This window comes from Homo sapiens, chromosome 4 (genome assembly GCF_000001405.40).
Source record: "Homo sapiens chromosome 4, GRCh38.p14 Primary Assembly".
Lineage (NCBI taxonomy): Eukaryota > Metazoa > Chordata > Mammalia > Primates > Hominidae > Homo > Homo sapiens.
The window spans coordinates 12535352-12557901 of NC_000004.12; the positions used below are offsets into that span (position 1 = coordinate 12535352).

At 36.5% G+C, this 22550-nt stretch overlaps 2 long non-coding RNA genes across 5 annotated transcripts in view; one reads left to right on the top strand and one right to left on the bottom strand.

Moving 5' to 3' along the window:
- LOC105374492 (uncharacterized) overlaps positions 1-22550 on the bottom strand; it is a 153067-nt gene that overhangs the window by 65510 nt on the left and 65007 nt on the right. The window lies entirely within an intron of this gene.
- LOC105374490 (uncharacterized) overlaps positions 4634-22550 on the top strand; it is a 31004-nt gene continuing 13087 nt past the window's right edge. Inside the window, exons 1-2 of one of the 2 annotated variants that reach the window (XR_925405.3) lie at positions 4634-4865; positions 10663-10839. This is a non-coding gene — a long non-coding RNA (uncharacterized LOC105374490). Of the gene's footprint in view, positions 4866-10662; positions 10844-22550 lie in introns of both variants that reach the window. The other variant, XR_925404.3, reaches the window with a different exon arrangement.

Here is a 22550-nt window from a genome sequence, read left to right on the forward strand (position 1 = left end):
CCACTGAATTACTTTTGCACCTTTGTCAAAAATCTGTAGTTCATGTATATTTAATTCTATTTATAGATTCTCTAATCTGTTCTACTAACCAATACCATGTTGATGATATCACATTGTCTCCATTGCTATAACTTTATAACATTTGAAATAGAGACTTATAACTTTGCCATTTTTTTCTCAGTTGTTTTGATTATTTTGGGTCTTTAGCATTTCCATATATATTTTAGCATTATCTTACCAATTTGTACAAAAAGTCTGTTGGGGTTTTGATTATGATTGTGTTGAAACCACAGATCAATTAGGGGAGATCTGATAGCTTAAGAATATTGAATCTTTCTGGCTGGGCATGGTGGCTCATGCATGTAATCCCAGCACTTTCGGTGGCCGAGGGAGGCAGATCACGAGGTCAGGAGATAGAGACCATCCTGGTTAACACAGTGAAACCCAGTCTCTACTAAAAATACAAAAAAATTAGCTGGGCGTGGTGGCGGGCACCTGTAATCCCAGGGACTTGGGAGGCTGAGGCAGGAGAATGGTGTGAACCTGGGAGGTGGAGCTTGCAGTGAGCCGAGATAGCACCATTGCACTCCAGCCTGGGTGACACATCAAGACTATGTCTCAAAAAAAAAAAAAAGAATATTGAATCTTTCTACCAATGAACCAATGAGCAGGGTATAATTTTTTATAATTTAAGGTGTTTTCTACAAGTCAAGTTTGTTGATCATGCTCTTCATATCATTGATATAATCATTAATTTTATATTTATTTCACCAATTATTGAGAGAGAGGTGTGAAATCTCCCACTGTGAGTATAGAGTTAATTATTTCTCCTTTAATTCTATTACTTAGTATTATATACATTATGGCTTTGTTATTAGGGGTATAAATATTTAGGAATATATTCTCTTCTTGAATGGACCTCATTATTATGAAATGACCTTGTTTAACCTGGCATTATTCTTTGCTCTGAAATTCTCTTTCCCATATTAACTTAGCTTCTTTAGTGTTTCTTGTTTAGTGTTAGCCAGACATATTATTTTTCATCCTTTTATTCTTATTTTTACTTATCTTTTCTTTTATTTTTAAAGTGTGTTTATTTGTAGGCATCATGTTGTTGGGCTGTCCTTTTTAATCCAACCTGACAACCTATTTATTAATTGTGTTATAAAGACTATGTACTTTTAATGTGATAATTAATCATGTTAGCTTTAAATATAGTAACTTGTAGTATTTGGATAGTATACTATAGCATTTGTTTTAAGTATATCCTATTTTCTGTCTGTTCACTTTGTCCTTCCTTCCTTCTTTTTAATCCAAAATTTTTCATTATTACATTGTAGCTATGTTGGCTTGAGTAGACTGTAACATTTTGTTTTGTTATTTTACTGGTTTATTAAGCTTTACATCTTTACCTTATTGTTCTCTACATTAAAGAGATATTCTACTTTACATAAAATAATGATAGCATCAATACTATGTTATTCTATTTGGTACTTATTATTCTCAATATTAGTGTCATTGCTGTCATACAGTATATTTTTACATGTGGTAGAAATTCTACAGATCAGTATTTGTAAACACTCAATTACCATTGAAGTGACTTAAATAAAAATAAAAGTATCCAATACATTTAACTGTGTAGGTATGCTGTCTTTGCTCTCTATTCCTTTGTGCATCCATGCTCCCATCCAGTATCATTTTTTCTCCCTCATAAAGAGTTTCCTTTAATATTTCATATAGCGTGGGTCTCCGGGTGTTGAACTTTCTTCAGCTTTTGTTTGTCTACAATGCCTTTTAACTTTTATTTTGTAAAGATATCTTCTCTGGTATAGAATTCTAGGTTGAATTTTTCTTTTACCAGGATTTAAAAGATATAGGTCCGGGCGTGTGCTGCAGTGTCTTAGCATGCTGGAGTGGTTGGGGTGAGAAGAACCATGAGAAGCCAAGTAAATCCACTAGAGGAAAAACCCCAGAACTGAAGTTACAGAAAATGAATTACAGCAGCACAATGGCAGCTAGATTATTTTTGCTTTTGTCTCCAGTTTGTATCAGCAGAGTCTAATATTCAATTAAATATACAGTTTACTTTACTGTTCTAATTGTACTGAGATCCCAAAGGTAAACGACCCCCATCCTTCCAGACAGCAGCAGGGCTGCATGAAGACTGACAGACCCCCGGCCCCCACATTCCTTGTCCTTCTTAGAGGCTAAAAGCCTATTTTGTCCCTGGTCATGGAATAGCCCAGTTTAGCCTCTTGTCAGTGAAAGCCATCAGTCCCATGTACGTCTCCATGAGGAGGAGACCTCCAAGACCACCACACCATTTGCTTGACTTGTGTAGGCTGCTGAATACAGGGAGGTACCCAGTATCTCGAATGCCTGCGGTCGCAAATATATTTACATTTGGTGTCAGATTTTGTATTTTAAAACTTAATCAATTTTTTTAAAGATCATTCAAAAGCAGCCAGGAGACTAGTTCACTAAGATCAGACTGCGTCTACAGCTCCCGAGTGAATCGCTGTTCTTTTGTAAAGGTGTGTTTGACCTAAAGTCACACTTTTTCTAAAATTAATCCAGTTAATACTTGAAGTATCTTTCCAAACCCAAGAAGGTTTACAGAAAGTCACCTTGACAGTTCTTTGCACACAATGTCGACAACTATATGTATTCTAAGTTTGTATTGTATTTATCTTTCAAAGGCAAAGGGGTAGTTTGCTTTTTGGAGAAGGCACTTTTATAAAGGAACCATGTCAGATCCTCATGAGGCAGCTGACGCCTGCCTTGCTTCCTACAGCTCCCACGTAGATGTGGGGCTCTGTCCAAGTCTGGCGTTAAACGTGCCCGAGCTTCTGGCGTTAAACATGCCCTGGAGGATTTCCGCACGGATATCACGCACCTCCCTGCAACCGTACAAACTGCGTGCTTACTGACTGGAAGCTTTGTCAACACGCTTGACCTGCTGGCTCGCCAGTTCTTTCTTTCTCCTTAGGACTGTTTTAACTTTAAGCAAACAGCGTGGTGTTGTCCCAGTGCGGCCGGTCGCCTGCGGGATGCTCAGGGCTGCCTCAGAAACCCGCCAAGGACTTCAGCCTTTGTGTTTATAAAGACATTTAGAACCAGATAGATGCTTCTCTTTTGAAGTTCTTATTAAAGTAGGTGCAACAACCAACAAATTAATAATAATAATAATAAAAGATATAGGACCACTGTCTTCTAGTTTGCATTGTTTTGAATAAGGAATATAATACCACCTTTATACTTTTTCCTGTCTGTGACTTGTCTATTTTCAATAATTGGTTTAAGAGTTTCATTTAGCATTGATTTTGGGCAATTTGATTATGGTGTACATATACTAGCGCTCTTAATGATTTGTGTGTATGTTTGTGTGTGTGCACATGGGTGGGTTAAGTTTCTTGGGTGTTTAAGTTAATATTTTTATCGACTTGAGAATGGCTCACGAATTTTAAAAATATATATATTTTTATTTTTTTCTTCTTTAGGACTGCAATTATATGTATTTTAGGTTGCCTCATTTGACTGCAATTATATATATTTTAGGTTGCTTCATTTGTCCACAGCTCACTTGTATTCAGTTGATTTTGTTTTTGTTTTTGTTTTCTCTTTTTTCTCCCAATTCCATCTTAGAGAACTTCTACCACTCTGTCTTTGAGTTCACTAAGTTTTTATCCGCAATGTTTATTCTGTCAATAATTTTATCCAATGTATTTTTAAATTACACATTGTAAATTTTATCTCTAGAAGTTCAATCTGAGTTTTTTTATATCTAATATGTCTCCACTTATCTTTTAAACATACAGAATACATTTAAAATAAATATTTCTATATGCTTATCTGCCAATTTCTTATGTGCATCTGAGTCATATCAAGATCAATTTTTAATTTATTTTCCTAATTATGGTTCATAATTTTTCTACCGGTTTTTATTTCTGGCGATATTTTAATAGATGCCAAACATTGTAAATTGTACCTTGCTATGGCACTGAATATTTTTGCTTGTATGAATGCATTTTAGTGTTATTTTTGTACACGGCATAGTATCTTGGAAACAGTTTGATCCTTTGCAGTTGTTTTAAAATTCGTTAGGTAGTACCTGAACAGTTCTCAGTCGCGGATTAATTATTACCCATCATTGATGCAAGACCCTTTGGCGAGAGGCCCTTCTTTAAAACAAGACACAGTGCCCCAGGAATCACAACCTTTCTCTTGTCTCATTGGTGGCAACAGGCACTGTTCCTGGCTCTCTAGTCTTTTCAGGTCTCTTTTTTTCCGCCACAGCCTCAGGTCATTTGCTCACATTCATGTGCTCATCTGCTGAAAACTCAAGCAGAACTGTGTTCCATCGTCCAAAGCTCTCTCTTTCTCTGTGTGCAACTTTCTCCTCCCAGTATTCCATAATGTAAACTAGCTATCTTAGACTCCCCAGATTCTCGATTCTATCTCCTCAATTTACAGAGGCTACAAGTCTCCTCCAGGGCCTTGAATCTCTGCGCTGTATCCGGGAAACATCCATGGCAATAAGAACAAAAAATAGTAGGGCTCAACAGGCCTTCCCAGCCATGCTGAACTGTGAGTCAATTAAACCTCTTTCCTTTATAAGTTACCCTGAGATATAATAGTATTTTTTGGAATTGTTTGCATTAAGAATGTCATAATGAATTGTGACGAAATCTGATTCGATGAAATCGAATTCTAATTGTAACACCAGACCACTGATTTTATCTGGGAAGCTAAAAATTACCATTACTCACCAAGAGTCAGTCCTCATAGAGGATCTTTTCCATAAAGTATGTTTGTTGTTGCATGCATCAATTTCAAGGGATTAAAGTATATTTTACCTACAAGAGGTGAGTTCCTCGACAGCAGAGATCTTGCTTTAATCAACCCAGCTTGTGGAGTGGCCAGCAGGTTGCTTGGCATATAGCAGGACCTCAGTACATCTCGCATAATAAATGAAGCTCTCAGAGCTTGCACTCCACAATGTACATTGAATGACTTCTTTTTTTTTTTTTTTTTTTTTTTTTAAGACGGAGTCTTGCTCTGCTGCCCAGGCTGGAGTGCAGTGGCACAATCTCGGCTCTCTGCAAGTTCCGCCTCCCGGGTTCACGCCATTCTCCTGCCTCAGCCTCCGGGATAGCTGGAACCAAAGGAGCCCGCCACCACGCCCGGCTAATTTTTTGTATTTTTAGTAGAGACGGAGTTTCACCCTGTTAACCAGGATGGTCTCGATCCCCTGACCTCATGATCTGTCTGACTTGGCCTCTCAAAGTGCCGGGATTACAGGTGTGAGCCACCGTGCCCGGCCCATTGAATGACTTTTAATGTACCTTGAAGCTGGGCATGGTGGCTCACGCCTGTAATCCTAGTACTTTGGGAGGCCAAGACAAGTGGCTCACTTGAGGTCAGGAGTTCGAGACCAGCTTGGCCAATATAATGAAACCCCGTCTCTACTAAAAATACAAAAATTAACCAGGCGTGGTGGCGCATGCCTGTAGTCCAAGCTACTCGGGAGGCTGAAGCAGGAGAATTCTTGAACCCGAAAGGCAGAGGTTGCAGTGAGCAGAGATAGCACCACTACACTCTAGCCTGGGCAACAGAGCGAGACTATGTCAAAAAAAAAAATGTACCTTGAACTTCAAGTCACTAATCTGGCCCAAAGGACAAAAATCAATAGAAGCTCTTTCATATTAAAAGTGCTATGCTAGGTGACAGAATTTATTCAGAAACATGAAGGACGTATGAGCCACCCAGCTCATAGGAAAAACAATCACAGTAAAATGAAAAATAATTTAAGGTACAATAAATATGATTCTTTATGAATACTGATGAAATTTCCCTTCCCACCTGTTTTATATTGTTTTAGGATTTACAGTAACCTCTTTATGTTTAGAGAAAAAAATAATACATGATTGGATTCCAGAATTGCAATTGTCTGTTGAAAGTTTAACATCATTGTCTTGAATCCCCTTAGAAATTCAACACCTAATTATTTATGGCATAGAAATGCCATAAATAAAAATCTGGGTGTATTCCATAACAGTTCATAACAAGAAACTTAAAAAAGAGAACATAAAACTTCAAATTATTCTGTTGATACTTTCAAGAGTGGTATGTGTCTTTCTCCTATAAATTGAAGTAGCTATACTATTAGCTCAGCAATTTAGAATTTAATGTAAAAAACAAGATTTGTATCTCTTTCACCATATAAAATTATGTTGTAACAATTCTGAGTGTGAAAATCAGTGCCTATATGTATGTTTCTTTAACTGTAAAAGTCTATGAATCCCTTTCTTTACTTAGCAGGTTCATCATTTCTCAAGCCATGTTATCTACGCATTATTAGTCTGATGGCCAGGTGAGGAGTTAGGGATAAATCCTCAGGGAGGTGTACGCTGCTTTCTAAGGCAAATACCTCTCCATTGTCTTTAAAGAAATGGAAAGTGTCAGACATGAATAGGAAGAAGTGGACCACTTCTGCAAGCCCAGAGGGTTCAGGAGAATATTGGATTTTAAGGTTCTTAAATGCATTGTCTCAGAGATCCTTACTCTGGATATCCCTCTGTTCCTGATCTTTGTCTATCCGACTTCCTGAGGTTGAGAATGTAATCTTGTCAGGAGTTCTTTTATTCTTATAACTAATTCCTTGGCCTGACGCTCTGCTATATCTACCTTTTGGCTGTATGAAATGGGTATATATTAACATGCCACCAAAGAGGCTCCCTACTTTTACATTTTGTTTCAATTTGGCAATTATTAATAATACTCAAGCTTTTATTTTATTAATATACTCAACAAGATGCATTAGATTTAACCAGCTCTGTAAGATAATTTCTCCAGAATCACTAAAGCAGATTAGCCTCAGATGACTAGGCAAATGAGTGTGTTTTATTCCATTTCTTACAAGAAGGAGACTTAGAACTATATCACATGTTCATGTGATGGAAAAGAATACACAGATATGCTCTTACCCCACAATGTTAATTCCTCCACCTTTATTATAATATAGCTGAAAGCTCCTGGAGAGACTAACATTCTGAAAAATAAGATATTGTTCCACTGAATCAATGACATCACATTAAGTGAACTGGATGAGCAACAAATGACAAGTGTGTTGGAGGCCTTCCTAACATTTATGTACTCCATATGGTAGGCAATAAACTCAAAGATTCAGGGTCCTGACATGTCAGTAAATACTTTAGGGATATACTGGGCTGGGAAGACTGGAGCATCCACTATAAAATAAAGAACAAATTGTTGCATCTTATACCTCCCATTATCAGGAAAGAAACACAGTGCCTGTAAGATTCTTTGGGTTCTTGAGGCATCATTCTAACACTTGGCAATGCTGCTACACCCATTTTCCCTGTGACATGGAGGTCTGCCAGTTCTGAATGGGCCCCAGAGCAGGAAAAGGCTCTTGCAGCAGGTCCAGACTGCAGCACAAGCAGCTCTGCCACTTGAGCCATAGGACCCAGCAGACACAGTAGGACTAAATGCATTTGTAGTCAGAAAAGATGTTGTGTAACATTTATAACAAACCACAATAAGAGAATTATAATGGATCCCTCTAGGGTTCCAAGGCAAGGCCATGCCATTTGCATCAGAGTTATCCACCATTCAAAAAACAGCCACTGGTGTCCTGCTAGGCCTTAAGAGACATAACACCTGACCACAGAAGAACACGTGATAGAGGACTTTGGCCAGTGAGACTATCAGACCCTAGCATACACTACTCTTTCAATCCTGAGTATTGCAATTAAAAATATAGTTGCTACTATTTTAGGCAAATCATAGTAGCTATTTTTATTTAATTTTTTTTTACCTTTTAATAATCTTGAAAATTTATTTAAAATTTGAAAATTTAAATGTTCTGAATATGTATGTTTATGTATGTATATGTAAATATATGTATATATATGTATGTATTTCACGTTTTGGAAAGCTTATGATTAATTCTTTCACTGATATGTCTATTGTTTTACTGCTTTTTATACATTAAGAATATTTGCTTTTAAGAATATTAACAAATATAAATAAAATTAACATTTATTCCATTTCCCACCTACAGTGTGCCATTTGACTTGTAGTTTTATTTATAGCATTTTGGGGCACAGGAAATTGTCCTTATTCAATGTTTAGAAAGTAAGTTTATTATCCTTTTATTCTGTGTCTTCCTTTGATGTCAGTACACTAATTTAAGATACCAAGTTATTCAGTAAAAAATTTTACTTTAAGAAAAATTCTACTCATAATACATATAGAAAATTGATAGTGATGGGGAACAAAATTTGAAATTTCCTATTCTTCAAACCTTAAAATCATCAATAAACATGTTTCAGCATATTTCTCCCCCACATTTTAATATGTATATTTTTCTGCATATTTTTAATAATGCCAAGTTTACAATTTTCTCTTTCACTTTTTTCCCTTAACATTTTCCCATTTCATTAGTGATGGCTGTCTACTACCCAACCAGGGACACTCACCATGACTATTGTTGTAAAATTGTCTTGCTTCTATTTTTTCCAATTATAATTAATGCCACAATAAACATCTTTGTATATAATCTTCCCTTATCCCAGGGAGTGGATTATTTCCACTGGACACATTCAGACAAAATGGGATTCTGAGTCAAAGGACATGAGGTACTGAAGAATATTAATATATATTGCCAAATTTCTCTGGCAGTATTTCTTCCCCAATTATATGAGCCTTCAAACTGTTCCTAACAGCAGAATCCACTGCTCTTGGTGGTTGTTTTGCCCTTTGAGCCATAGACGTGCACACATATATGCACATATCCACAATCAACTCTTACCCTATTACCCATGTTTTAAGTGGAAATTATAATGACGTGTGCCTCTTTTAGCTATAGTTTAAGGTAAGGAAAAAGTAAATTGTGGCTTATGAGTTATTGATTGAAAGCAAGGTATCATTTGTCAAAGCAGTCATTGGCCTGAAATACCAGCAACTATACAAACACATATGCCCCAATCACAGGTTTTTTGCTCATGTTCTGTTATGGAAACACAAAGGCATATTGATTACATTCTGGAATTAAAGCTCAACTTGATGGCTGCAAACATACCATTACCTATAATACATTTATTTTTGAGACTTGTTTAACTGTAGCAGCTAAGAAAATCAATGTGTGGGGGCCCAGCTAGACTGACCTTTATCAAACAAAATAACCTTTCATGTCTTTTTTTCCCCCTCCACTCTTCATGTAATTTTACTTCTGCTCCTCTATGGTCTCATGATCTCATGGTACTTAGAAAAATCACACAAAAACTGTATTAGGTAGCTTGGAGTAAAGATGACTTGATTGAAACAGAGGGGAAAAGGGACATTTCCACGTACTTAGAAAAATCACACAAAAACTGTATTAGGTAGCTTGGAGTAAAGATGACTTGATTGAAACAGAGGGAAAAAGGGACATTTCCACAGGTTGTAATTAATGGCCCAGGGCAGAGGACCTATATAAGCTATTAGCTAATGCATTTTGATTTTTTTTTTTCATTTTTCTCTTTTCCCTCTTTGTGGGAGGTTGCTGTCTTCCTTTGAGGGAAGTAAATATGACACCTCAGAAATGTATTTAAAATAAAAGACTCTCAAGTGACAAAAAACATATTGACTTTATTAGAGGTGTTCAAATTTCTTCAAGAAAAGGCACATTACATATTGGTAATGCAAACAGTTCTTTCACATGGAATCTGTGTCCTTCATATTTTTGAAAAACATTTTGGCAAAGGCTTATTGGCTGAGGCTCCCCAGTCAAGGCCATTAGGAGTGGAGGTGGGTGAAAGAAAAAAAATGGGACCCTGGAGTAACCATTGCCATGTTGGAGTTTAAGAACATCACTATCATGGGGATAGGGAACATGATGGTTGAAAAGGATGTACTTTGACATCATTAATTCTTTTTAATTATTTATTCATTCATTTACATACACTGAGCACTGACTCCCACCCAGGGACTGGTTGCCTATATGGTCGGAGTCTGGCTGCACAAGTGTCCACTTGAATAAATGATAATTAATTCACTGAGCCAGCTTAGGAGTTGAAGCATGCCCAAAGTGATGCAGGAGATCCTACAGAAAAGTCACCATATGTAAGAGAGCTGAAAAGGGCTTCCGGCAGAACAGTCCAGATTCACTGGGCTGGGTTTGAAAAGCTATGTAGACGTTGTTTTTTTCTGAGAAGATGGAGAAGGAAATTCACATGGAGGGAGAAGCATTTTGTCCGGGATCCTTTAGGGAAGTCTGAAGATGATGTGGCTGTAGTAAAGGTCCCATAGAGGGACTGCGAAGAGATGAAGCTGGAAAGGTATTTTGGGGCCATATGGGACAGTCTTTTAAGCCAGCTGGAGTTTTGATTTATGTTTCATTTTCCCATAGGGGAATGACATGCTCTGCATTTGACCCTTTCAATCTATTTGCAAATAGTAGCCAAGTTGAGTCAGATCACTTAACACTTTTGCAAAATCTGTAATGACTTCCATTTTACTCAAAATAAAATCCAACTAACAGTGAATTATAAGACAGTGCATGCTTGCCCCTCCTCCCTCTCATCTCTTATTGAGCTACTCTCTTATCCACTGTAACCCAACCACAATGACCTCATAACTGTTCCTCAAACACTCCAGAGTCTTCAGCTCTTGAACTCCAGGATTCTCACCAGTGGCCAACAGTTTCTCAGACCTTAGGTTTTGAATTGAGTTACGTCATCAGCTTTCCTGGTTTTAAGGCTTTCAAACATGGATTGGCTTCTCTGATTCTCCAGTTTGCTGACAACCTATCCTGGGACTTTCCTGCCATCATAAGTGAGTAAGTCAATTCCCCTAATAAATCCCATCTCTCACTTCTCTCTCTCTCTCAATGTACATGTTTCCCTCTGGATAACCCTGGCTAAAACTAAGATCCAAACGAACTCTAGGTACTTCTCTACTGTTTGCAATGCCTGAGCAGGACCAGAGTGAGTGTCTGGGGATTTGGGGAGTGCTTAAAGGGATTCCTGCTCTCATTGATTGGAGGGAAAATTTTCTCGCAGTTGGAGAGAAAAGTTCCAAAGAAACAGGTAGAAAATAGAGAAAAAGGGCTTTCAGATTGACCTGAAATCTCAACATTTTGTTGAAGGAAGAAATCATATTCTCAATGCCAGTATATGGTCTGGAATTGTTTCACAGGATGGGAAACGAATAGGAACTAGGAACTGCATAGTAAATTGTAATAAATAGTATGATTGGTCCACATGTCTAAGTGGCTTATGGACTTAGCAAAAAGGACAGAAAGCTAATGAAGCTCTCTGTGATTTAGGATTTAGGATTTAAGTCATGATTAACACAATAACATTTGCTTTCATCAGCTGGCTAATACAAAACAGAGTCTCTATCCAGAGATAATAATGATCATGAACAAGTCAGCAATTGCTACCCAAGAGTGAGCAGCACTTTATGTGCCAGGTACTTTTAATGAAAGTTTTAAATAGTTCAATCCAAGAGTTGGCAACATTTTTCTGTAAAGAGCCAGGTGGTAAACATTTTGAAATTCAGGACATAGGATCTCTGTCACAACTACCTGACTCTGCTATTACAGCAGAAACACAGCCACAGATGACACGCAAACAAGTTGGCATACTATGTTTTGATAAAACTTTATTTACAAAAATAAGAAAAGGCAGTCTCTAGATTTGGCCATGGGCTGTAATTTGATGGCCTCTGGTTTGGTTTAGCTGATAGCCTTCCCAGCTCTATGGTATTATTTTTAACCCCAATATATTGATTAGGGGACTGGAGCTAAATTAGGGCTAAGCTGAGATATAGAGGGGGGCAGTGTTCTAATACATATCAATATAATTCCAATGCCTACATTCTTTATTATACATTGAATTTTTCACTCAGCTGTGACAAATGAATCTGTATTTCTACCATCTATATCCCTTTTTCACCAAAGGAACCGCTAGTGGAAGATATGTTGGTTTTATTTGCCCTTATTCAGCTCCAAACTTCGGTGGGGACCCTCAGAGATAGCGCATGTTTTCTGTTTCTCAAGTACATTTACCTGCTCCAGTGCCCCCAAGGATTTTTGCTAAGTCTACCTATTTGCCCTTTCTTTGTTCTTCTGCCTACATTGAAAGCCTGACATGCGAATTTTATTTTAATGTCAACCTCAATTTGTTAATGCTAGAAGCTTTCCTTGTGAACTTCTGAAAAACAAGGGAGTAGATTGAGAACGAAGGGATTACTCATTGAATACTAATTATACATGTAATTCCTTCTTGCTGAGAAGAGAAAAAAAGCAACAAGCTGGAAAATTTAAATTTGACCAAGTGGGGCCAAAGAAATAGTAGAAAAGGCAACATGGTCTATGAGGAACAATGCTAAGCCAAGGAACTACGATTCATGGATTCACTGGCTATTTTCTCTAAGCTCTGTGGCCTTGAATATGTCACTTTGTTGTCTCTATTATGGAATATAAACAACCTAATTGAAAAGTATAACCTTTGGAACTTCCCAGAATTTGTTTTTTGTCCTCTGCACATGGATGGAGACATCAAAAGAAACATGAACCTTGGTAGGCACACATATTTGAGTGCAGCCTCCCAAACTATAAGTAGCACCTAAAGCCTGTCTTTATTACCCTTCTGATCATCTTGTCCCCTTCCTCATCAAGACCAAGAATGTCACTCCTATGCAGAAGTATTTCTTAGTTTTGCTTTCTAGTGTGAGAAGCAAGAATCTCCCCAACAAACTGGCATCACTAACGACGGACCCTTCTTCGGAGATCTGTCCCTAACCTCAAGTAAAATGGCATCTTCTCTCCTGAAAGCCCGGTAGCATACAATAGAGTATTCATGAAATTTATAACAGGAATCAGATAGAAGCAGTGACTATTCCCTCAAAGAGTATCAGGGAGGGAAACTCCTAAAGACGGAAACTCTTGGCAACCTAAACTTATAAAACAGTCTTCTGAAAAACTATGTAAAACTCTCATATCAGGTACCACCTTAAATAGAAGAGTGATTTTCTAACACTGACTCCAAATAATTACATTAACATGCAAGCTTCATCTCACCCACTTTTAACATCCTGTATTCCTTAAAATCAGGCATTGAGGGCACATTCTGAGGTTGGCACTAATACAAAAGAAGCAAATTCATAGTTCCATTGAGATTAATGTGTTTATTTGTATAAGTAAAGGTGTGTGGCCAAATGTCACAACCTTCAACTTGGAAAGCCAGTTTTCTAAAGTAAAATGTAAATTTTATTTTTAATGGCATTGGTTGAAAGAAAAAAAGCATTTTGCCTTCCTCCTTCCCAAGAATCCTTTGTACATTTGGGGGATGAATTGTTCCACCATCTCTTTCGGCTTTAATAATTTATTTTTCCTGGAACTGCTGAGAGTCTTGTTTTTCCACTGGTATTCAAAACTGCTTGGGCTTGGTGCTTCCCCGAGTATATAAAACCAGCTTCACAGGAGACTTAGTGGCTCAGATAATGTGACTGCATCCACAGGAGCTTGTTTTGTAGAGCTGGTTAATGTGAAATGCTTTATAAAGAACGCCATTATCTGCCTCTAATGGAAGATTTTTCCTTCACCAAATGGAGAATCTCTCTTTCACAGCTCTCAGAGACGTTTAAAAACAGTTCCACTTCTGATTCCTGTTATATTTATGATCAGGCCCTTAAGATATTGAGGGAGGAAAAAATAAGCATGAGGTCATCCTAACTGAAATTTTAAGTTATATAAATTGGAAGATTTACTGGGTAACAGTATGCTTTTTATGATTACAGAGTTAATTTGAGTTTTCCAAAAATATATGTTAATTTTAACATATTTTTATATGTTTTATGTTGCTTTTAGTTCAAATAATTGTACATATTTATGGGGTAGAGTGTGATGTTTTGATGCATATGTGCATTGTAGAATGATCAAATCAAAGTGATTAGCATATCTGTTATCTCAAACATATCGTTTTTTGTAAGAACATTTAAAATTCTCTCTTCTAGCTGTTTTGGAGTGTTAATGTATTATTGTTGACTATAGAATACTTACATTTGTTCAGCACTTACCATGTGTTCAGTGCTTTATATTTTATATTTGTTACATCTCACAATCCCTAGAAGAGACATATTGGTATCTTTACCTCACATGAAGAAATTCAGAGAAACTAATTGAGTTGTGTAGAACCATTGAGTATTATGGAAACTAAGAGCAAAAATTTTATAATTGGAACACCTATATTCAAACTCCATCTTTACCACTTGATGATAAGATTTAAATCTGAGTCTTAGAGGCCGTTCTCTGGGACTGATCTTCTCACTTTTAAAAATGTCGATAATTAATAGGTTATCATAAAATAAAAATGTAGTACATAGAATTTAAAAAATACTTTTCACACATGATAGGGAAGATTTGCTAGCTAAAATGTAGGAGAGATTAAAATCTAAGATGGATAAAAAAATTTAAAAACATCAATACATAATAGGTAAAGTATATTATTAAATAAGTAAATGGAGTAACATAAATAGGTAATAAATATTTTATTGAATTGTCAGTAAAAATTTTCAAAAGTAAAAAATAATATTATGTTATTCTAGTGTGTGAATAAAGGAGAGTAAACGATATTTAACAATAGAGGAACAAGTACTTTTATAAGCAAGTATAGCAGTCAGCACACTTTTGCCATAGGGTAGGTTTCTAATATTTTCTTATATATTCTACTATTAAAACATGGAATATTTATTTATCCCAAAGAGACAGATAGAAATATCAGGATATAGAAATGAAATGTGAAACATCATTTATATTTTTTGAAATCTTGGGAAATACCTAAAGGTAATTAAAAATAGGGGATTAGTTAATTTATGGTAAATCCAAACAATGAAATTACCTTAGTCTACATAAAAATGTGACTGGTAAATGTATTTATTAACTTAGAAAAATCCCTTATGTATTAAGTAAAAAAGAACAGTATAAAAAATGCAGTTTGTTATTTTAAAATGATATGCTATTACTATTCGCAATAAAAGATATCTGAGCACTGTGTGCCAGATATTGCACTAGTACTAAACACATACATGTGTGTGCATATATGTGTATAATTGTATATATACATGTGTTAATTAACTCTGAGTGATGTTTTCTTATTCCTAATCTACAAATAGGAATATAGGAATACAAGATTAAGGAATTTGCACAACATAACTCAGTTAGTATGTGTCTCTACCAGGATTTGAACACAGTAATATCTGATTTCAAACAAGACATAAAAATCACTGGGTTCCAAATTTATTTATTTATTTTACTCAACCCATATGAGTGTGTGCATAAAATATGCATACATAAATCCCATGAAAACTCGTAATCATCAATAAACTCTAAACATAATTAAGACAGTGGGTACAATCCCTAGTGTTATGGACTGAATGTTTGTGTACCCTCAAAATTCACGTGTTGAAACCCTAAAGCTCATCACGATGGTGTTTAGAAGAGAACCTTTGGGAGGTGATTAAGGTTAGAGAAGTTATGAGGCTGGGGCCCTTATGGTGGGATTAGTGCCCTTATAAGAAGAGACACCACAGAGCTTACTCTCTCTTTCTCCACCATATGAGGCAAGAACACAGATATCTACAAGCCAGAAAGAATCCTCTCCAGAACTTCATATTCTGGCGTCCTAATCCTGGACTTCCAACTTCCAGAATTGTAATAAATCAATGTCTGTTGCTTAAGGCACCCAGTATTGTATCATAGCAGCCAGCTTGTTAGAAAGAAGTATATAAATCTCTATTTCAAATAATTTTTTCTGGACATTTTTAAAATTACTTGGTAGCTTCTTACATCAGATAATATCATCATTATTTTACAGATATATTGTTGCTAAAGATGAACTTGTATTTGCAGGAGGACAAACACGAACTCTGCTAGATTCTTGGCTGGGATTTCTAAGCCATTTTTTGTTATCATGTGCCAATTAGTTCACATAAACTAGATAATATACACTGAAAATCCATGAACTATGCCAGCCTAAAGTACCTGATGTCACAATAAGAAAAATGAAAATAAACAAGGGAGGAGATCAAATTCTCTACTTTTGAAGTTTTATTGTTTTACTAATATGCCTCTGGTGTTTGACATTTAACTTGGCCAGATTTAAGAAAATTTAATAGAGTCTGGTTCTCTAGCTGCATTCTGAAGCAGAATGAGATATAAGACAAAGAAGTAGGAAGTTGGCTCTACATTTTTCTTTGTTTCTCTGTATTAAATGTATGTTATTTCTCTGGATGCCTAAAGATTATTCTTTATCACTTATTTTGCCACTAATTTATTTCAATTTTTTCCCTTCTCTCTTCTTTCCTGACACTCCAATTATATGCATGCTACATCACTTAATGTTGTCCCACTGATTATAGATAGATAGTATATGACTATTAAGTGTATAAAGATAATTTTATTACATGTAAAATATCATAAATATATATTTGCTATATAGTATATATGTATATAAATATGTATTATATTGTAAATACTTTTAATTATAGCTATTAATTAAATATATAATTCATATATAATTATACTGTTTATTTTAATCATAATTCATTTTATTTTATAATTTATTTGAGTAAATTATAATATAAAATACAAATTATATATATAATTTTCAAAAATCAGTAAGTACATTAAAAATCACATTATTAAGTGAATATAATTTTATTTTGAAATTACCTGTATCTATCTATATCTGTATCCCTCTATCTCTATCATATAGTATTCATTTTCTTCGTGGTTCATTTTAGATAATTTCTCTGGCACTGTCTTCATGTTGTTAATCTTTTCTTTATAAGTGTCTAAACTACTGTTGGTCATCTACTGCTAGTGATGATCTCTGTCATTTTAAGATTGGGTTTTTACAGGAAAATTTTTCTCCAATGCGTTACATTTTTAATATTTTTTCATAGACTAATTTTCATAATTTTTCATAGACTAATATTCTTTAACTCAATGCTATACTTTATGAATTTTAAGTTCCTTATTGCTAGGTTTTATTTCATTCTGTTAAAAAGTATTGGGCTTTATCTGGCAGGTAATTTAGTTATTTTTGTGTTACATTAATAATTTTGACAGTTGTTTTTTAAGAGTATTTTGGGGTGGTGGTGAACAGGTGAAGTTAGAATAGTGTTTATTCTAAAAAATATTAACCCCCCTAAGAACACTAAGCACGTGGCTCCCCTATTGTCACTACTGATGGCACTGCTTATTCCACAAGGTCTCTGCTGGACACCTAATGATATACAATATAATGCTATCTGTAATAATCTTTTGGATTATAAAGTTTCTTTTCTTGGGAACTTTCCTTGTTTGACCTTGTGGGTTTTAATTCTATACCTAAACAGAACACCAGATAGCATACACTGAAGATCCACTAAACTAGGCCAGCCAAAATGATCTAGTAATACATGAACAGGTTATATTCAAATAAAGTTTCACGAGGACCTATGTGAAAATATCTGGAACTCCGTTTCTACACATCTCCCTTGTTTGGGGCACTCCCTCCAACACAGTCTAGCTGCTTTTTCCTCCTTTAACTCTGACCCAGGCCTCCTTTATTCAGCAAGATTGCTGGTATCTGGTTGGTTTCTGCTGCCTCCCCCTCATTCAGTAATTTCCTCCAGTCAAAAGCTACAGCAATCCTGAGACTCACGTTGTTTTCTTTCCTTTTTTCAGGGGTCACTTTTTTTGCTGCATGTTGTCCAATGTTTTAAAATAGTTATTTTCTACATTCTGTCCATGTCTATTTAGTTTAACATTGCAAGAGAGCATTTTTGGACTATTTCATTCCATCATGATCAGAACCTGAAATTAAAAATTCATATTGTTTGCTAGTTTTTCATTTCAAATTATGTCCAGCCATGTTGTATACATCTTATTAGTGATTCTACAGTAAGACTAAATGCTATAGAATGACCAAAATGCAAATGATGTAAAGATGTTCTTAAATTCAAACTAAACTGTATCCCAAAATTTCTGGAAGAAATTAAAGTCCAAAAATTAAAATAATAACTTCACAAGTTATGAAACTTAACTTAGAAAGTTAAGCAAAGGAATTAATGCTTAAAATAAAATTTTTCTTTTTTGTTTATTAAAGTTTAAGAAAATTCAAGTCTAAAATTCACTCTTTCAACTTCCTATATGGGCTCAGTTTCCTCGGGATTCCTCTCTCTCTCTCTCTCTCTCTTTCTTTCCTTCCCTCTTTTTCTAACTCTTTGTTTTAGATCCATGAAAAATGTCTTATTTCTTAAAGAGTCCAAATAGAATTTACAATATTGTATAGTGCCGTCTGACAGAGAGTGTCACTTGAGATATTTCCACGTTCTCACAAAGTTTAGAAATGTGCAACATTGGCAGGACAGATCATGTTAAATATTTAAATAATTTTTCTTCCTGTATTATATGTGCACACACTCACACATGTATGAACATATATTCTTCCATACTTATACCTGTGTCTATATCCATCTGTCATTTTTCTTTTATCCTTGAAAACAATTGCCAACATGCAGATATTTTCCAGAGACATAATGCCCAGTCTTTCCTGTTCAGACTTTTTAAGTCCTTTGGCTCAATGCCTCCTTTTACTGCTTTTTTTTTTTTTTTTTTTTTTTTTTGACGGAGTCTCACTCTGTCGCCAGGCTGGAGTGCAGTGGCTCAATCTCAGCTCACTGTAACCTGCGCCTCCCGGGTTCAAGTGATTCTCCTGTGTCAGCCTCCCGAGTAGCTGGGACTCCAGGTGCACAATACCATGCCCAGCTAATTTTTGTATTTTTAATAGAGATGGGGTTTCACCGTGTTAGCCAGGATGGTTTCCATCTGATCTCGTGATCCGCACACCTGGGCCTCCTAAAGTGTTGGGATTATAGGTGTGAGCCACCGCGCCCTGCCTTTCTACTGCTCTTTACTGTGGAATTATCTCCTAGACCAACTTTTTTTTCCCTATGAAAAATTATTTAATCCAAAGCCATCTGGCAGGGATAAGCTTATGGATAGGGTCAAGTTCAGGGCCCATGGGGGATGGGGGATGAAGTTTCCACCATTTGAAGCATCCTCTGCCACACACACATCAAACAATATAAAATGATAACAAAATCAGCTATGAACATTGTCCCGCTCCTTTGTATAATGCCTTTGGGTGGGTCAGCACAGAGAATGGAAGCGGTATTCTTAGAAGCCATGCCTACACCAGAATGTCTAACAACACATGACCCTCGTGAAAGTGATCACAAGCCACAAAGATATATCCCACTCAACTCAAACTAAAACTGTGTCTGGTTTAATTTCCCGTTAGTCGGATCCCAGAAATGTCCATGTCTGTTCCCTTCCCAACCTTCTCCTGAGGAAGAGAGATGAAGGGGAAGATGGAGTCCAAATAAGCAGTCGTCACAACCAATTGTGGATACAATGTCTTACTTTTGCCAATTTTACAAAATATATGACCTTATGAATACATCACTGAAAACTCTCAGAGAGGCCTGGAAAGGAGTTTGTGTTTCTTAGCTTCAGCACATATCTTCAGAAGTGTGTCTGTGAATCCAAGGCTGGTTCCTGTCCCTGAAAGAAGATTGGCATCTGAAGCACCTGACTTAACCCTACCTGCCTACTTTTGAAATAATAATTTGAAGCCAAGGCCCCAGTATTTCAGTGCAGTTCATGGACAACTCATGCATCTAAAATTGGAAGGCAGAGAATATTACTCTATCCCTGAATGACTAAAAGGCCTAGAAGACTTTTCATCTTATTGTGAAATGTTTGCCTGGGCTAAAGCTATTTGGGTAAAGCTGAGTCATAGCTCAAGATCAAGATGTAGCAGCTTGGCCCACCGTCTGCTGAGGCCAGTTGTAGTCTAGTCTGTGTTCGTGGTTAGGCTTTATGGAGCAAGCAACTGCTGTGGCCAATGTCGTCGGCAGGGTACTAAGTGCAAAGCTTTTGGAATTTGTTATCAAAGTCTAAGAGCTACTGGGTGCTTCCCACAAATTGAGCAGGCAGTCCTCAGCTTTACTGAAGTCTTCATTTTTGCTGAGGCTAACATGCCCAATATTTTCATCTCAGACCATATCCTCCATGATTTTGTTCCATCCCAGGACTTCTATTCCACTACTGATTCCAACGTCTATCCTTTTCCTGAGTCCTGAGGCCCATGCCTCTCCTAAGGTTTCCCCTTTCTTAAAAGAAATAAAGTCCAGGATCCTATTGCATAAGGGCTTGTATATACGCTGTTGCTTCTACAAAACAAACATCTTGTCTTTGCACAAAATTGCCCTAAATTACAGAAATCAATTAAGTTCTACGTGTCGTGTGCTCTGAGGTCTAAGCCGAGTGCTCACAAAGCAGTAGATAAAATCCAGTGGAAAAAAAGTAGCCTTGTATTTCAGCATGAACCTGTGTGAATCATGAGGCTTAAAATGCCATACCCACACAATAGGACCAACATAAGATATGCTGACCCCCAAAAAAGATTAATGTTAAGGATATTAATATTGTAGACATAATGCCAGGGTTGGAATCCTTGCTCTGCCATTTACTAGGTATGTGACATTAGGCAACTTGCCTCCTTTATCTGCACTTAAAAATCCTCTTCACTGTAATAAGGATAACACTCTAATACAGTAACATTATATTGTATGATAACATTGCTATAGAATGAATGATGGTGTCTCCACAAAATTAATATGATGAAACATAATCTCCATGAGTTGGTATTAGGAAGTAAGGTCTTAGAGAGGTGATTAGGTCATGACAGTAGATTTTTTGTGTATTGCTACTCTCACAAGGGACTGAAGAGACCACAGTTCCCCCTTCTACCACGTGAAGACATAGCAAGAAGACAGCCATCTAGGAAAATAGGAAGCAGGCTCTTACTGTATCCCAAATCTGCTAGTGCAATGATCTTGAGCTTACCAGCCTCCACACGTAAAATCCATTTCTGTTGTTTATAAGCTACCCAGTCTATGGTAATTTGTTATAGTAGCCTGAATAGACTATGATAAGCATTATGATATAGCACTGTTATGAAGATTAAACAAGTTCATTTATGTAATTCACATAGTTCTTTATGAGTATTCGTTAAGTATATTACACACACACATACATACATGTATGCGTACATAGATACATTAATTAATTAATCATAGTCTATTTCTCAAAGTTGCCAGATGAATTCACCCAATGAAACGAGGTCACCGCTCAGACTTCAGATCCTTCACTGCCATCACCAATATCTTAGAGAAAGAGCCTTTACTCCTTCAGCTTTACTTTTACAGCTTATTGCATGGCACCATCTGCCCCAATCCTTCTGGCCCATACTCCTTAAGTTGGGGTATGAAGAGGCTCAATGATTTGTCATCCCTCTCACTTCTCTTAGTTCTGAACAGAGAAATAAGATAAGAAATAAGATAAGTAAGGCAGATGAGACTAAAATACCGACTTTATTACTGAGAAAGCTGATGTTAGTGAAGGTGGCTTATATTTGTGTTCCTCTAGGCTTTGTAATACTGATGCTTAAATTTAAGGAATTTACCCACTCAATGTGACTACCCCTACCTGGAACAGGTCTCTCTACACGTTTCATGTGTGTACATGTATGTATGTGTGTGTTTCATCCTGTAGAACTTATGACAACAAGAAGTAGAGCAGAACATATAGTCCTGAAGGGATCTTATATCCAAGCATAATGGAAGAAGGAATGGCTTGACTATGCATCTCCGATTTCTTCTTCCAAACTCACCAATCAGGAAGTTCCTCACTAACAGGGAGGAGGAAGTGATAGGATGAGAAGAGGTCAAAAGTATTAGGCTAAGAGATGGCCACTGAAACACTGAATCAAACAAAACTCATGCAAACTCAGTGGCCAAAAATAGCAATCACTTATTCACATGCATCTGAATCTCAGATGAGTATTGGATGATCTAGGCTGACCTCAACTGAGTTACTTTGCCTCAACCTGCAGGTTTGGCTATGCCTGAATGAGGTGACTCTACTCCATGTAGGCTTATCCTGGGGCCCAGGCTGAAGGGACAGAAATGACAGAGAAAACTCTTTTCAAGGCAATAGCAGAAGCACAAGGGAGAGAGAGGATGAAAACACACAAGGCCGCTTGAGACCTAGATTCCTACCTGGCACACTGTCACATCCACCCCTGTGCTATTTAACAAAGGAAGTCACTTGGCCACGTCCAGAGTCAAGAGGTAGGAATACTCTACACCCAGGATGAGGCCACAGCAATGGAGTGATGCAGGGAAGAGTGAAGAACTGGGACCAGTGATCCATCCATCTCAAGTCCCTAATCAAACTGGCACACTCAACACAATTTCCAGTGTCGATCTCTGTATTAAATTCCACTTATAGCATAGGTACCCATTTTCTAAACAACAACATTCTCTAAACAACAACAGCAAGAAAACAAAATTATCCTTGCATAAATTAATAATGTCTAGTATATGGTAGATATTCAATAATTTGTTGAAGAATGAAAAATAAAGGA